This window comes from Homo sapiens, chromosome 4 (genome assembly GCF_000001405.40).
Source record: "Homo sapiens chromosome 4, GRCh38.p14 Primary Assembly".
Lineage (NCBI taxonomy): Eukaryota > Metazoa > Chordata > Mammalia > Primates > Hominidae > Homo > Homo sapiens.
The window spans coordinates 129,648,987-129,666,832 of NC_000004.12; the positions used below are offsets into that span (position 1 = coordinate 129,648,987).

Here is a 17,846-nt window from a genome sequence, read left to right on the forward strand (position 1 = left end):
GGCCAGTTCTCCAGGGCAGTACCTATATTGTCAACCCTATTACTTTCCTCATTAAAGAAAGCAAATTGAATGCAACCAAGGAAAGGTGATGTATAAGAGTAACCTTGAATCATGCTAAGACAATGTTTTATAGTAAAGTAAATTATCTCTTGAATTTTGAAGCTTTTAGTGTTATTAGAAACAAATTACTTATGACATTCTATTGCATTATGGTACTGGATGAGAACTACTGAAAAAATTGTCAGTGGTTTTTCCTTTAACATTATTATGTCACTTTTTATTCTTGGCTGATATGGTTTGACAGTGGTATATCTTCTAATTTAAAATAATGGTCAGATACACATTTGGAACGACCTGGTTGGCAAGAATATGCTGCTGTCAGAATACTTCAGCTGAAAGATTTCCTTTTATAGTCCATTTAATTCAATGCCGCTCTTCTTTTCTGAAGGTTGCCCAAGATTCCTCCAAAACTGAACATGCATCTAAAAGATCAGTGATTCACAGAAACAATTCAAATGTTACTACATTTGTAGAGTAACTGCAATTGAGTTGTAAATATTTTTTAGTTATACAGACATCTTGACCTTAGGAGGGTCATAGTCTATTATAAGTAAATGTAATGTAAGGAAGGCATGGCATGAAGTGTGCTGCAGATAATTTTTTTTTTTTTTTTAGACAGAGTCTCACTCTGTTGCCCAGGCTGGAGTGCAGTGGTATAATCTCGGCTCACTGCAGCCTCCACCTCCCAGGTTCCAGTGATTCTCCTGCCTCAGCCTTCCAAGTAGCTGGAATTACAGGTGCCTGCCAGCACACCTGACTAATTTTTGTATTTTTGGTAGAGATGGGGTTTCACCATGTTAGCCAGGCTGATCTTGAACTCCTGACTTCAGGTTATCCGCCCTCTTCAGCCTCCCAAAGTGCTGGGATTACAGGCATGAGCCACTGCACCTGACCCAGATAATTATTGTATTAAATATTATCATATTAAATAATTACTTTTCTCCTATGTACATTTTCTTTTACAAAAAATCAGAATACAATTCTAAAATTTTAGAAGCAAATACTATTTTCTTTCATTAAAAATAACACCAAATTCTTTAAGATTATCATCTGAAGAGAAAGCTTTTGTTGCTTTTTGGTTTTGTTTTTTTTTTTGTTTTTCTGAGAGTCTAGGGACCTTGAGTTTGGCTTTCTCATTGGGGTCCCTCTCATAGTTACCTCTTTATTATTGAGCTAACATTAGAATTGATGAGTGAAAAAAGTGAAAGCAGGAATGAGATGGTGATGATGATCATGATGAAAGAAAAAACTTATATGTATGGGAAACTTACTGTGTGACAAATGCCCTGCTCTACATACATAATTTTATTTTATCCTTGTAACAATCCAGTGAGTTGGGCACTGTTATTGTTCCATTTCACAGATGAGGAAACAGACACTTAAGAGATTTTATGTTATTTTCCCAAGATCACAGAAGTAGATCTAAATAGTGAAACAAAGATTAGAACTCAAATATGCTAATTTTAAAACAATTTTAAGCAATAGGTCTGTAGGTATATTAAGAACCAAAATAAAAACTAGGTATATTTAAAAAGGGAAAACAATACATATTTTAACAACCTTTCCCAAAATGTGTTCCAGAGGATATTAATAGACACTCTGAAAGTGTCAAAGAAGAGATACTTCTTTGAAAAGTGTCTCTTAATAAAAAAAAAGAGTTCTGTTTCAATAAGATTGGAAAACATAAGCTTAAAAAATTCAATAGGTTTCTTTTTTGAGAGGGAGTCTTGCTCTGTCACCCAGGCTGGAATGCAGTGACACGATCTCCGCTCACTGCAAACTCTGCCTCCCAGGTTCAAGTGATTCTCATGCCTCAGCCTCCCAAGTAGCTGGGATTACAGATGTGCACCACCAAACTCAGCTAATTTTTTGTATTTTTAGTAGAGACAGGGTTTTGCCACACTGGCCAGGCTGGTCTCCAACTCCTGAACTCAAGTGATCCACCTGACTTGGCCTCCCGAAGTGCTAGGATTACAGGCATTAGCCACTGCACCTGGCCTAAACACGTTTCTTTATTGCTTGATTTTTCAGAATATTTACTAGGTAGATCTCAAATAGGAGAATATATTATATAGTATTTCCTAGATTGCTTATGCATTTAACTTTATCTCTTGAGAAACTTGCTTCGGGAAATAATCTAGATAAAATCTGGTTTATAATGTAAACATGTTAGCATTTTATATTTTCAGAATGATTTAAGAATTCTAGGGAGATCTGGCAAGATGGCCAAATAGGAACAGCTCTGGTCTGCAGCTCCCAGTGAGACCAACACAGAAGGCAGGTGATTTTTGCATTTCTAACATTTCCAGTTCATCTCTTTGGGACTGGTTAGACAGTGGGTGCAGCCCACAGAGCACGAGCAGAAGCAGGATAGGGCGTCGCCTCACCCAGGAAGTACAAGGGATCAAGGAACTCCCTCCCCTAGCCAAGGGAAGCCCTAAGGGACAGTACTATCCAGCCCAGATACTATGCTTTTTCCACGGTTTTTGCAACCTGCAGACCAGGAGATCCCCTTGTATGCCTACACCACCAGGGCCCTGGATTTCAAGCACAAAACTGGGCGGCTATTTAGGCACACACTGAGCTAGCTGTAGGAGTTTTTTTTTTGTGTGTGTGTGTGTACCCAATTGGGGCCTGAAACCCCAGCAAGACAGAACCGTTCACTCCCCTGGAAAGGGGTAGAAGCCAGGGAGCAAAGTGGTCTTGCTCAGTGAGTCCCACTCCCATGGAGCCCAGCAAGCTAAGAACCACTGGCTTGAAATTATTGCTGCCAGCACAGCAGTCTGAAGTCAACCTGGGATGATCAAGCTTGGTGAGGGGAGAGGCATGCACCATTATTGAGGCTTGAGTAGGTGGTTTTCCCCTGAGAGTGTTGAGGACGCCAGGAAGTTCAGACTGGACAGAACTCACTGTGCATGGCAAAGCGGCTGTGGCCAGACTACCTGTCTAGATTCCTCCTCACTGGTCTTATAGAAAAAATTCCCATCTCCCTGGGACAGAGCACCTGGGGGAAGGGGCGGCTGTGGGTTCAGCTTCGCTGGACTTAAACATTCCTGCCTGCTGGCTCTGAAGAGAGCAGCAGATCACCCAGCACAGTGCTCAAGCTCTGCTAAGGGATAAACGGCCTCTTCAGGTGGGTCCCTGACCCCCATGCCTCCTGACTTGGAGAGACCTCCCAACAGAGGTTGACAGACACTGCATACAGGAGAGCTCCGGCTGGCATCAGGCCGGTGCCCCTCTGGGATGAAGCTTCCAGAGGAAGGAGTAGGCAGCAATATTTGCTGTTCTGCAGCCTCTGCTGGTGATACCCATGCAAACAGGGTCTAGAGTGGACCTCCAGCAAACTACAGCAGACCTGCAGATGAGGGGTCTGACGGCTAGAAGAAAAACTAACAAACAGAAAGGAATAACATCAACATCAACAAAACAGACACCCATACACAAAACCCATCCAAAGGCTATCGGCACCAAGGATCAAACGTAGATAAATCCATGAAGATGAGGAAAAACCAGTGCAAAAATGCTGAAAATTCCAAAAACCAGAATGCCTCTTCACATCCAAATGATCACAACTCCTCTCCAGCAAGGGCACAAAACTGGACAGAGAATGAGTTTGACAAATTGACAGAAGAAGGCTTCAGAAGGTGGGTAATAACAAACTCCTCTGAGCTAAAAGAGCATGTTCTAACCCAATGCAAGGAAGCTAAGAACCTTGAAAAAAGGTTAGAGGAATTGCTAACTAGGATAACCAGTTTAGAGGAGGACATAAATGACCTAATGGAGCTGAAAAACACAGTACGAGAACTTTGTGAAGCATACACAAGTATCAATAACTGAATCGATCAAGTGGAAGAAATGATATCAGAGATTGAAGATCAACTTAACGAAATAAGGCGTGAAGACAAAATTAGAGAAGAAAAATGAAAAGAATGAACAAAGCCTCCAAGAAATATGGGACTATGTGAAAAGACCAAATCTGTGATTGACTGGTGTACCTGAAAGTGGTGGGGAGAATGGAACCAAGCTGGTAAACACACTTCAGGATATTATCCAGGAGAACTTCCCCAACCTAGCAAAATAGGCCAACATTCAAATTCAGGAAATACAGAGGACACCGCTAAGACACTCCTCGAGAAGAGCAACCCCAAGACACATAATCGTCAGATTCTCCAAGGTTGAAACAAAGGAAAAAATGTTAACGGCAGCCAGAGAGAAAGGTCAGATTACCTACAAAGGGAAGCCCTTCAGACAAACAGCAAATCTCTCTACAGAAACCCTACAAGCCAGAAGAGAAGGGGGCCAATATTCAACATTCTTAAAGAAAAGAATTTTCAACCCAGAATTGCATATCCACCCAAACTAAACTTCATAAGTGAAGGAGGAATAAAATCCTTTACAGACAAGTAAATTATGAGGGATTTTCACCACCAGGCCTGCCTTACAAGAGCTCCTGAAGGAAGCACCTAATATGGAAAGGAAAAACTGGTACCAGCCACTGCAAAAAACATACCAAAATATAAAGACCAATGATACTGTGAAGGAACTGCATCAACTAATGTGCAAAATAACCAGCTAGCATCATGAAGACAGGATCAAATTCACATATAACAATATTAAACTTAAATGTAAATGGGCTGAATGCCCCAATTAAAAGACACAGACTGGCAAATTGGATAAAGAGTCAAGACCCATTGTTGTGCTGTATTTAGGAGACCCATCTCAGGTGTAAAGAGACACATAGGCTCAAAATAAAGGGATGGAGGAATACTCACCAAGCAAATTGAAAGGAAAAAAAAAAGCAGGGTTTGCAATCCTAGTCTCTGATAAAACAGACTTTAAACCAACAAATATAAAAGAAGACAAAGAAGGGTATTACATAATGGCAAAGGGATCAATGCAACAAGAAAAGCTAAATATCCTAAATATAGCACTCAATACAGGAGCACCCTGATTCATAAAGCAAGTTCTCAGAGACCTACAAAGAGACTTAGAGTCCCACACAATAATAGTGGGAGACGTTAGCACCCCACTGTCAAAATTAGACAGATCAATGAGAAAATTAACAAGGATATTCAGGACGTGAACTCAGCTCCGGATCAAACAGACCTAACAGACAACTACAGAACTCTCCACCCCAAATCGACAGAATATATATTCTTCTCAGCACCACATAGCACTTATTCTAAAATCAACCACGTAATTGGAAGTAAAACACTACTCAGCAAATGCAAAAGAATGGAAAACATATCAAACAGTCTCTCAGACCACAGGCAGTCAAATTAGAACTCAGGATTAAGAAACTCGCTCAAAACCATAAAACTACATGGAAACTGAACAACCTGCTCCTGAGTGACTACTGGGTAAATAACAAAATTAAGGCAGAAATAAATAAGTTCTTTGAAACCAATGAGAAAAAAGTCACAATGTACCAGAATCTCTGGGACACAGCTAAAGCAGTGTTAAGAGGGAAATGTATAGCACTAAATGCCCACATCGGAAATTGAGAAATATCTAAATCGACACTTTAACATCACAATTAAAAGAACTAGAGAAACAACAGCAAACAAATTCAAAAGCTAGTGGAAGACAAGAAATAACTAAGATCAGAGCAGAACTGAAGGAGATAGAGACATGAAAAACCCTTCCAAAAATCAATGAATCCAGGAGCTGGTTTTCTGAAAAGATTAACAAAATAGACTGCTAGCCAGGCTAATAAAGAAGAAAAGAGAGAAGAGTCAAATGGACAAAATAAAAAATGATAAAGGTCATATCACCACTAATTTCTCAGAAATACAAACTATCATCAGAGCATACTATAAACACTTCTATGCAAATAAACTGGAAAATCTAGAAGACATGGATAAATTCCAGGACATATATACTCCCCCAAGACTAAACCAGGAAGAAGTCAAATCCCTGAATAGACCAATAACAAGTTCTGAAATTGAGGCAGTAATTAATAACCTACCAACCAAAAAAAGCCGAGGACCAGAAAGATTCACAGCCGAATTCTCCCAGAGGTACAAAGACGAGCTGCTACCATTCCTTCTGAAACTAGTCCAAAAAATAAAAAAAGAGGGATTCACCTCTAACTCATTTCATGAGGACAGCATCATCCTGATACCAAAACCTGGTAGAGGCACAACAAAACAAGAAACTTTCAGGCCAATATTCCCTGATGAATACCGATGCGAAAATCCTCAGTAAAATGCTAGCAAACCAAATCCAACAGCACATCAAAAAGCTTATCCACCACGATCAGTTTGGCTTCATCCCTGAATGCAAGGCTGGTTCAATATATGCAAATCAATAAATGTAATCCATTACATAAACAGAACCAATGACAAAAACCACACGATTATCTCAATACATGCAGAGAAGGCCTTCAATAATTTCAACACCCCTTCATGCTGAAAACTCTAAACAAACTAGGTATGGATGCAACATATCTCAAAATAATAGGAGCTATTTATGACAAACCCATAACCAATATCATACTGAATGGGCAAAAGCTGGAAACATTCCCTTTGAAAACTGGCACAAGACAAGGATCCCCACTCTCACCACTCCTATTCAACATAGTATTGGAAGTTCTGGCCAAGGCTATCAGGCAAAAGAAAGAAATAAAGGGTATTTGAATAGGAAGAGAAGAAGTCAAATTGTCTCTGTTTGAAGATGACATGATTGTGTATTTAGAAAACCACATTGTCTCAGCCCAAAAACTCCTTAAGCTCATAAGCAACTTCAGCAAAATCTCAGGGTACAAAATAAATGTGCAAAAATCATAGCATTTCTATACACCAAAAATAGACAAGCAGAGAGCCAAATCATGAGTGAACTCCCATTCACAGTTGCTACAAAGGGAAGAACATACCTAGGAATACACTTACAAGGGACATGAAGGACCTCTTCAAGGAGAACTACAAACCACTGCTCAAGGAAATAAGAGAGGACACAAACAAATGGGAAAACATTTCATGCTCATGGATAGGAAGAATCAATATTGTGAAAATGGCCATATTGCCCAAAGTAATTTATAGATTCAATGCTATTCTCATCAAGCTACCACTGATTTTCTTCACAGAATTAGAAAAAAACTACTTTAAATTTCATATGGGACCAAAATGAGCCTGTATAGCCAAGACAATCCTAAGCAAAAAGAACAAAGCTGGAGGCATCATGCTACCTGTCTTCAAACTACACTACAAGGCTACAGTAACCAAAACAGCATGGTACTGGTACCAAGACTGATATATAGATCAATGGAACAGAAGAGAGGCCTCAGAAATAACACCACACGTCTACAGCCATCTGATCTTCAACAAACTTGACAAAAAAAAAAAAGCAGTGGGGAAAGAATACCCTATTTAATAAATGGTACTAGAAAAACTGACTAGCCATATGCAGAAAACAGAAACTGGATCCCTTCCTTACACCTTATACAAAAATTAACTAAAGATGGATTAAAGACTTAAACATAAAACCATAAAAACTGTAGAAGAAAACCCAGGCAATGCCATTCAGGACATAGGCATGGACAAAGACTTCATGACTAAAACACCAAAATCAGTTGCAACAAAAACCAGATTTGACAAATGGGATCTAATTAAACTAACAAGCTCCTGCAAAGCAAAAGAAACTATCATCAGAGTGAACAGGCAATCTACAGAATGGGAGAAGATTTTTGGAATCTATCCAACTAACAAAGGTCTAATATCCAGAATTTACAAGGAACTTAAACAAATTCACAAGAAAAAACCAAACAACCCCATCAAAAAGTAGGCAAAGGATATGAACTTCTCAAAAGAAGACAAATTTTGTGACCAACAAACATATGAAAAAAAAGCTTATCATCACTGATCACTAGAGAAATGCAAATCAAAACCATAATGAGATACCATCTCATGCCAGTTAGAATGGCAATCATTAAAAAGTCAGGTAACAACATATGCTGGTGAGGCTATGGAGAAATAGGATTGCTTTTACACTGTTGAGGGAGTGTAAATTAATTCAACCATTGTGGAAGACAGTGTGGTGATTCTTCAAGGATCTAGAACCAGAAATACCATTTGACCCAGCAATCCCATTACTGGGTATATATCTAAAGGATTATAAGTCATTCTACTATAAAGACACATGCCACACATATGTTTATTACAGCTCTATTTACAATAACAAAGATTTGGAACCAACACAAGTGCCCATCAGTGATAGATTGGATAAGGAAAATGGGCACATAATACACCATGTAATACTATGCAGCCATAAAAAAGAATGAATTCATGTCCTTTGCAGGGACATGGATGAAACTGGAAACCATCATTCTCTGCAAACTAACACAGGAACAGAAAACCAAACACTGCATATTCTCACTCATACGTGGGAGTTGAATAACGAGAAGTCATGGACATAGGGAAAGAAACATCACACATCAGGGCCTGTCAGAGGGTCAGGGGCAAAGGGAGGGAGAGCATTAGGACAAATACCTAATGCATGAGGAGCTTAAAACCTAGATGATGGGTTGATGGGTGCAGCAAACCACCATGGCAGAGGTATACGTATGTAACAAACCTGCACATTCTGCACATGTATACCAGACCTTAAAGTAAAATAAAAATACAAGTAAAATAATAGGTTTATAATGGTATATTATTATTTTTTAAATTTTTGTCTCCTGAAAGTTGAAAGATGTTGAACATTTTTCAGTATGATTATTTGACATATGTATGTGCTCTTAGGTGTAGTAGTATCTTGTATTAGTCCATTTTCATGCTGCTGATAAAGACATACCCAAGACTGGGCAATTCACAAGATAGGAGGTTTAACTGGACTTACAGTTCCACGTTGCTGGGGAAGCCTCATAATCATGGTGGAAGGCAAGGAGGAGCAAGTTACATCTTACATAGATGGCAGCAGGCAAAGAGAGGAGTGCTTGTGCAGCGAAACTCCCCTTTTTATAACCATCAGATGTCATGAGACTTATTCACTATCACAAGAACAGCATGGGAAAGACCTGCCTCCATGTTTCAATTTCCTTCCACCAGGTCTCTCTCATAACTTGTAGAATTTCAAGATGAGATTTGGGTGGGGACCCAGCCAAACCATATCATTCTGCCCCAGCCCCTCCAAAATCTCATATCCTCACGTTTTAAAATGAATCATGCCTTCCCAAAAGTCCCTCAAAGTCTTAACTTATTTCAGCATTAACTCAAAACCCCACAGTCCAAAGTCTCATTCAAGATGAGGCAAGTCCCTTTCTCCTGTGAGTCTAAAATCAAAAGCAGGTTAGTTACTTCCTGGATACAATGAGTGAACAGGCATTAGGTAAATCCATTCCAAATGGGAGAATTTGGCCAAAACAAAGGGGCTACAGTCCTCTTGCAAGTCCAAAATCCTGAGGGGCAGTCAAATCTTAAAGCTCCGAAATGATCTCTTTTGACTCAATGTCTCACATCCAGGTCACTTTGATGCAAGAGATGGGTTCCCATGGTCTTCAGCAGCTCCACCCCTGTGGCTTTGCAGGGTGCAGCCTCCCTCTTGACTTTTTTCACAGACCAGCATTGAGTGTCTGTGGCTTTTCCAGGAGCACGGGGCAAGCTGTCACTGGATGGTCTGGAGGATGGTGGCCCTCTTCTCACAGCTTCACTAGGCAGTGTCCCAATAGGGACTCTGTCAGGGCTCTGACCCCACAGTTCCCATCTGCACTGCCCTAGCAGAGTTTCTCCAAGAGGGCCCTGTCCCTGCATATACTTCCGCCTGGACATCCAGGCATGTCCATACATCCTCTGAAATCAAGGCAGAGGTTCTCAAACTTCAGTCCTTGACTTCTGTGCACCCACAGGCTCAACACCATGTGGAAGCTGCCAAGGCTTGAGGTTTGCACCCTCTGAAGCCATGGACTGAGCTCTACGTTGGCCCCTTTCAGCCATGGATGGAGCAGCTGGGACACAGGGCACCAAATCTCTGGGCTGCACATAGCACAGCGAACCTGGGCCTGGCCCATGAAACCACTTTTTCCTCCTAGGCTTCAGGGTCTGTGATGGGAGGAGCTGCTGTGAAGAATCTCTGACATGGCCTGGAGACATTTTCACTACTGTCTTGGGGACTAACATTTGACTCCTTATTGCTTATACAAGTTTCTGCAGCCCGCTTGAATTTCTCCTCAGAAAATGGGTTTTTCTTTTCTATCACACTGTCAGGCTGCAATTTTTTCAAACTTTTATGCTCTGTTCCCCTTATAAAACTGAATACCTTTAACAGCATCCAAGTCACATCTTGAATGCTTTGCTGTTTAGAAATTTCTTTCAAGAAATACCCTAAATCATCTCTCTCAAGTTCAAAGTTCCACAAATCTCTAAGTAAAGGGCAAAATGCCACCAGTCTCTTTGCTAAAACATAACAAGATTCACCTTTGTTCCAGTTCCCAACATGTTCCTCATCTCCACCTGGGACCACCTCATTTGGACCTTATTGTCTATATTGCTATCAGGCTTTTGCTCAAAGCCATTCAGCAAGTCCTTAGGAAGTTCCAACCTTTTCCATATTTTCCTGTCTTCTTCTGAGCCCTCCAAACTATTCCAACATCTGTCTGTTAACCAGTTGCAAAGTCTTTTCTACATGTTTGGGTCTCTTTTCAGCAGCGTCCCACCCTACTGGTACCAATTTACTGTATTAGTCCATTGTCATGCTGCTAATAAAGACATACCCAAGACTGGGCAATTTACAAAAGAAAGAGGATTAATTGGACTTACAGTTCCACATGGCTGGGGAAGTCTCACAATCATGGTGGAAGGCAAAAAGGAACAGGTCACATCTTACGTGGGTGGCGGCAAGCAAAGAGAAGAGCACTTATGCAGGGAAACTCCTCTTTTTATAACCCTCGGATCTCATGAGACTTATTCATTATCACAGGAAAAGCACAGGAAAGACCTGCCTCCGTGATTCAATTACCTCCCAATGGGTCTCTCCCACAACACATGGGAATTTAAGATGAGATTTGGGTGGGGACACAGCCAAACTGTATCATATCTTTTCAGGTATTCTGTTCATTTTAAGATTATTATGTTTTATTGTAGAATTTAAAGCTTCTTTGTGTATTTTGTAACATATATATAATTTTGTATATTTTGAATAAAATTTCTTATACATTTTCTGTTTTATTAGAAATTTTATAATTTTGCATTTTATATTTATATCTATGGTTTCTTTTCATTTTTGTGTAAGTTGTAAGGTGTACCTAGTTTATATTTTTGCATTGAACATCCAATTGTTCTAGTATCATTTGTTAAAAAGGTTATTATTTCTCCCTTGAATTCCTTTGCATTCTTTTAAAAACACAATTGACTATCTTTGTCAATTGACTATTCCTGGGCTGTCTCTTCTGTTCTGTCAATCTTTATGTATATTCTTTTACCAATATCATACTGTCTTGATTACTATAGTTTTTAGTAAGATTTGAAATTAGGTGGTGTGATTCCTCCAACTTTCTTCTTCTTCAAGATTGTGTTGTGGCTATTCTAGGGCTTTTTGCCCTTCATACAAACTTCAGAATCAGTTTGTTGAAATCTACCAAGCAGCTTGCTATGATTTTGATTGCAATTGCATTGAAACCATAAGGTCAAGCCAGGAAAATCTGATATATTAACAATATTAAGACTTTCAATATATGAATAGAGAATATCTCTTTGAACTTTAAGTGATGCCTGGGAGCCATGTGTTTAAGGTCTCTGTCTGTCTCACCCCCTGCAGTAGATTCCTACATCAGTGGTCCCAGTGAAGCTTGTCTTTTGGTATTCACAGCTGTTTAGAAGTCCCCAAGACCAACCTTGGTTTCAATGATTTCTTAAAAGAACTGACAAGACTTTAATAAGTAGTTATACTCATGGTCATAGCTTATTACTGTGAGAGGATATAAATTCAAATAAGCAAAGAAAAAAAGATGCATGAGGAAATGTCTAAAGAATACCATGGACAAACTTCGAGATGTCCTCTCCCAGTGAAGTGGTGTGGTCATGCTTATTTCTTTCATAAACAACGTGTGAGTGGCAACACATAGGAAGTTTTGTCAGCCAGGGTAATGACTCTGAGCCTTGAATCCAGAATTTATTGGGAGTCACTGCATGCCTATGCAACTGAGCTCAGCACTGATTCCAGCCTCCCAAAGCAGAAACAGGCATTCACCATAAATTACATTTGTTAGCATGAACTATATGATAAAATTGGTACAGGATGGCCCATTACCTCAGGCATACAAAAGCCTTAATGACATTCACCATAAATGACATTTTTAGCATAAATTATCTCATCAAAGTGGTATGCTATAGTGTAAGGCCTCAGGCATACAAAAACACTCATATCAGGCAGAATATTCCAAGGGCTCAGAGCTCTTTTTCCAAAAACCAATCCTGAGGAAAACTATTTCTTGGAAATGTATAGGTTTTTGAGATCCAGGCCTATGAGTTAACCCTTTTCTGCACAACACCTTTGTGTATATCCTGCCCATATTGAGTCTGTGCTTGGCCTTGTGACTTGTTTGGGTCAATGGGATATTGGTAACTGAGACATTAGCAGTGGTCTTGATATGAGTTTTGCTTGCCTTCTTGGAATGCTGCTGCCAAGTAAAGAAGCCTTGTCTACCCTCTTGGAGGATAAACGCATGAAGAAAAGTTTCAGTAATTTCACATATCCAAGCTGAGTAAAGTCAACCCATCAACTTATGAGAAATAATGACTTTTGTTTTAAGCACTAAGTTTCAGAGTAGTTTCCTATACAGCAAAAGATGCCTGACACAAAAATTGGTTCTAGAAGTTGGATCAACCCCAGAAGAGAGTTAATTGATTGGACTGAGTCTACTCTATCTTTGAAGAAGAAGAATAAGGTAAAAATGTTGACTTCAGAGCACAGTAATAATACTGTCTTAGGACAGAAAAAAAATACAAGAACCAACTAAAGTATATTAAAATATAGGCCAGACAGTGGGTAGTGGTGTATTGTTTGTGAGGAGGGTACAAATACAGAGGAGTATGCATGTTTGTAGAGTGAATTCTATAAAAGTCTGGGGAAAAAGTGAAATAAATTAAAACAATATATCCAACTTAAGATGAAGAAAAATTACAAGTAAAAAACTGAGACAAAAAAGCATAAAATAAGATGGTCAAAATAAATCCAACTATATTAGTAATGATGATATTAATATGTGATTAGACTAAATGCTCCAGTTAAAAGGCACATGGATAAAAATCAAAACCCACCTACATGCTGTTACTATAAAGAGGTGTAAAAATTAGGAATTTTAAAAGATTCAAAATAAAATGATTAAAAATATGGCCAGGCAAGTAAAACCAGAAAAGCTGAGTTACCTGAATGTAGTACAAAATAAACTTTGAGGCAAAAGGCATTGCTGCAGATAAAAAACATGCCTATATAATGACAAAAGGCTAAATTTACCAGAAAGCTATATCAATTCCAACGTGATTATACCTGATAACACAGCTTTAAGAAATATGAAGAAACATGACAGAATTAAGGAGAAATAAACAAATCCACTGTCATAGTTTGAAAATTTAACTAACCTTTCTCAGAACCTTATAAAGCAAGAAACCACTAGATTATTTCCAATATCATCTCGATTTATAATCACAATAAGTTTCCCCTTTTGGAATTAAATAGCAATTTATTTAATTTATATGGATAAATAAATACCCACAAATTGGTTTTGAAAAACTATTTAAAAAAAGGAGAACTGAGAAGAAATACTTGCTGTAGCAGATACTGAAACAACATTCTCTAAGGCCATTTTACTGAACTCATTCTAATAACTTTATGCGATCAGTGTAATATAGTAGAAGTTACAAAATTAAATATGAAAAATAACATGTCAAAAATATGAGAGTTCAATTTAAAAGGAAAATAGTTGACTAGTTAATAAATGATGCTGATACAACTGACCATCATAAAGAGAATTAAAATGGAAACTTCCTATTCAAGCTGGAGTTGAAATAAAGAACAGTTTAGCCAAGACTAAAAAATCTAGAAACTATAAAGAAAAGAAAACATGTTTAACCACATGCCATTTAAAAAATGCTTTGCATTTCAAAAGGTAACATAAAATAGTTTATATTATAAATATGAAAAAATGTTTGCACATGATGAGAAAAGCTTAACATTCTATAATAAACAAAGAGCTCATATAAATTGACATAAACTACAACTCATCTCTCTGTTCTCAAAAAAAGCAAAGGATATAAGTAGAAAATTTACAAATGGTAAAAAAAAAAAGGAAATCATATTACAGGATGCTCAAATTCAGCCACAGCAATGCAAATCAAAACATCCGTAAAATATGATTTTTAACACATCAGACTCCAAAATCTGGATGAGGGTATTAATACTTATTGCTATGAGCGTCTGGGGTAAAGAAAATTCCAATATTTTGCTGGTGGATATTTAAAATGTTACAAGGCTTTTGGAATCACTCAATATGTAGTAAATGCCAGTTTTTCAAAGGATATACCACTAATTCTTATATGTATGATAATTTTAACTATAAAAAGAAATCTGCAGGCCAAGGCATTCTGATTGCTTGAGCCCAGGAGTTCAAGATCAGCCTGGGTAACATGGCGAGAGACTGTATAAAAAAGTCAAAAAAATTAGCTAGGTCTGGTGGCGTGATCCTGTGGTCCCAGCTACTTGGGAGGCTGAGGCGGGAGGATCACAGCAGCCTGGGACCTTGAGGATGTAGTGAGTTGCACACTGAACTCCACCCTGGGGAACAGAGTCAGACTCTGAAAAAAAAAATCCTATGAGATTTTGTAGAGTCTATTGATGAAGATTTACCCTGGGTGTGGATGACCACCACCCACTTATGCCTAGTGTTCCATTATTGGAACGCTAAGCATGTGGGAATTACTTATATCCTAGTGCTCAAGGTCATCACCAAGGTCTAATTGCAAAAATTCAAAAAATTGCAACCTCAGACATAAATGGGTTAAGGGAAGAAATCACAAGATAAAAGACCTCTTCTGCCTTATCCTCAATTGCCACCACCATGGCCTTTGCTCGTATACAACTTAGTTTTACTCATGAGCACCTTTTACTTCTTTATGCCCCATACATACTGCTTTGCCCTATAATAATTTTCATTCTTGCCTTGACTAGCTTCAAAATTTTGTTTAATGAGCATCACCTTTTGAGTAATTTTCCTGATGTTTTAATAACATCATAGCAATCTTAACAGTATTCTATAATCAATTATTTAATTGAATTGATGTTTTGCACTATATCCTAAACTCAAGGACAGTGATCATGTGTTCTTTTTCTTTGTGTATCCAATGCCTAAAGCATTTTTAATATGCATACTATGTATTCAATAAATTCTTATTTCAACAAAGCCAGGATGCCTTTGGAAGCTAACAGTGTAGTTGATCACTATGTTCCCAGTTCTAAACATGATGTCTTATGCATATAGAAGCTTGATAAATATTTATTGAATAAATTTTTAAATGAGTGTACTAGAACAGATGGCTAATTTCCAATAAAAGTAATATCTATAGCAAAATACTTTCTAAGTGGTCTTCAGTAGCTTGTAAACCAAAACAACTCACTCTAAATAGCATTTTTAACCTAGTCAGTCCTTAGAAAGAAGGAAGATGTCCACATTATACTCCTGAAGGTAAAAGTAGTTGCATGGGCATCTACTTTTTTAAAAAAGTTCAGTGTGGCTTCCAAAACACACTGAATAAGCACACATGCCTTAGTTGTAGGAAATAAAAACTAACTCTGGCAATCTTATTTTAAAAATTTAAAAAGTGATTTTATTTAAAAGATATTAGAGATCATATAATGTGTGAGAGCCCTGCGAGTATACAGAAAAGGATTCTGTAAGGTCTGAAGGGTCAGACAACAGAAACCGTAGCAAGTATATTACAGAACAAGAACAAGAAGTTTTGTGTGTGACTTATAGCGGTCATGCATCTGACCTCTAACTATTTCCAAGATTTGCGTCCCATCTTTTGGAATAAAAGTCTCCTAATCTTTGAGAGGCTGAAGGGGGTGGATCATTTGAGGTCAGGAGTTTAAGACGAGCCTGGCGAACATGGTGAAAACCTGTCTCTACTAAAAATACAAAAAAATGAGCTGGGCGTGGTGGTGCACTCCTGTAATCCCAGCTACTCAGGAGGCTGAGGAAAGAGAATCGCTTGAACCCAGGAGTCAGAAGTTGCAGTGAACCGAGATCATACACTGCACTCCAGCCTGAGTGACAGAGTGAGACCCTGTCTTCACAAAAAAAAAAAAAAAAAAAAAAAAGTCCCCTAATCTTCAACAGGACAGTGAGGTGGAGGATCTGGCTTCTGCAATAGTGAGAGGTGATCATTTCCACCCATTCATACTCCAAGGGTGATCAGCGTGTCAAGGGGAAGGGACGGTTTGAAACCTAAAGAGCCAAAAATGGGAAATATGTCCATTATAGAAGTGGATAATCAGTGGTATTATCCCTCCATGAGACCATGTCATCCCTCTAAACCTAAAATTGAATTGGAATAAGTCAGGAAATGATAATGATGTTTCAAAAAAGGAATCCAACCTTGCTCATAAAACAGTAGTATGACACATGTTGTCAATATAATGTGTTCCCTTCTTGGACTTGATGGGAACATCAAAGATGTGAATGTAGAATGCAAGGAAATACTATAATAAAATGTAAGCCTCAGATAACTATAATTTTAAAATGTTTTGTGATGAATATTTCACACAGCCATTACTATATATTAGGATAGTGTCTCTTTTAGGTATAAAAGTTAAGCCACATTATAAATTTTAATGAGATTGTTAAAGAAAAGGAAACATTTAAGAGAGGCACTGAGTAGGGTTTGGATTTCCTGGGTGTATATGGTGGGAGTGGCAGTGCTAATTTATCTCACCTTTAGTCATTGCAGAAATACATGAAGCAGGCTGGAGACAGGTATTTAATGTAATTTTCTGTATACATCTTGTATCTAACAATATATAAAAATAGAGAGCAAAGAAAAAAGACGTTTTCAGTTTCTTTTTCTTTTTATTTATTTTCTTTCAGAAATATCTTGTTTCCTAGGTTATTTCATAAACTGAATCCATAAACTTTTTACAAATTTATTTGTTTGTTAAAAATTGTCATGAAACTATATGTATTCATTGGGTATAACATGATATTTTGAACTATATGTAGATCATAGAATGGTCAAATCTAGCTAATTAATAAATGCGTTACATCACATAGTTATCAATTTTGTGGTGAAAACACAACGTCCACTCTTAGCATTTTTCAGGAACACAATATGTCATTATTAACTATATTCACCCTGTAGCACATTAGATCTCTTAAGCTTGTTCCACTTATCTCACTATAAATATGTATACTTTGTCCAACATCCCCCCAACCTGTCTCCCCCCAAACCACCCCAGCCTCTGGTAACCACCATTCTACTCTCTATCTCTATGAGATCCTTCTTCAGATTCCACATATATGTGAGATCATGTAGTGTTTGTCTTTAACTTAGAGAATTCTGTGGTGCCTTTGGATTGAAAGGAAAAGAAATCTCAGGTGGGAGAATTTCACAGAGATAATTTTGCAAAGTTATGGTCTAATTAAAATGGAAATTTCCAATAGCCAAATGGAAAGGCTAGAAATAAAGAAATATGATTTTAGAAATAGAATAATTATTAAATGTGCTTAACAGCAAACTAAAAACAGCAAATGAAGAGATCAGTATAGAGCCAACATATTTTTGTACATGAATAATACATGGAAA

At 38.0% G+C, this 17,846-nt stretch overlaps 1 long non-coding RNA gene across 1 annotated transcript; it reads right to left on the bottom strand.

The window, feature by feature from the left end:
* Positions 1 to 255: 255 nt before the first annotated feature.
* On the bottom strand, positions 256 to 17,054 carry LOC124900779 (uncharacterized). The gene is made up of 2 exons (XR_007058269.1): positions 16,980 to 17,054; positions 256 to 482 (listed from the first exon to the last, which is right to left on the bottom strand). It is a non-coding gene; the product is annotated as an uncharacterized LOC124900779 (long non-coding RNA).
* Between the last annotated feature and the right edge of the window lie 792 nt (positions 17,055 to 17,846).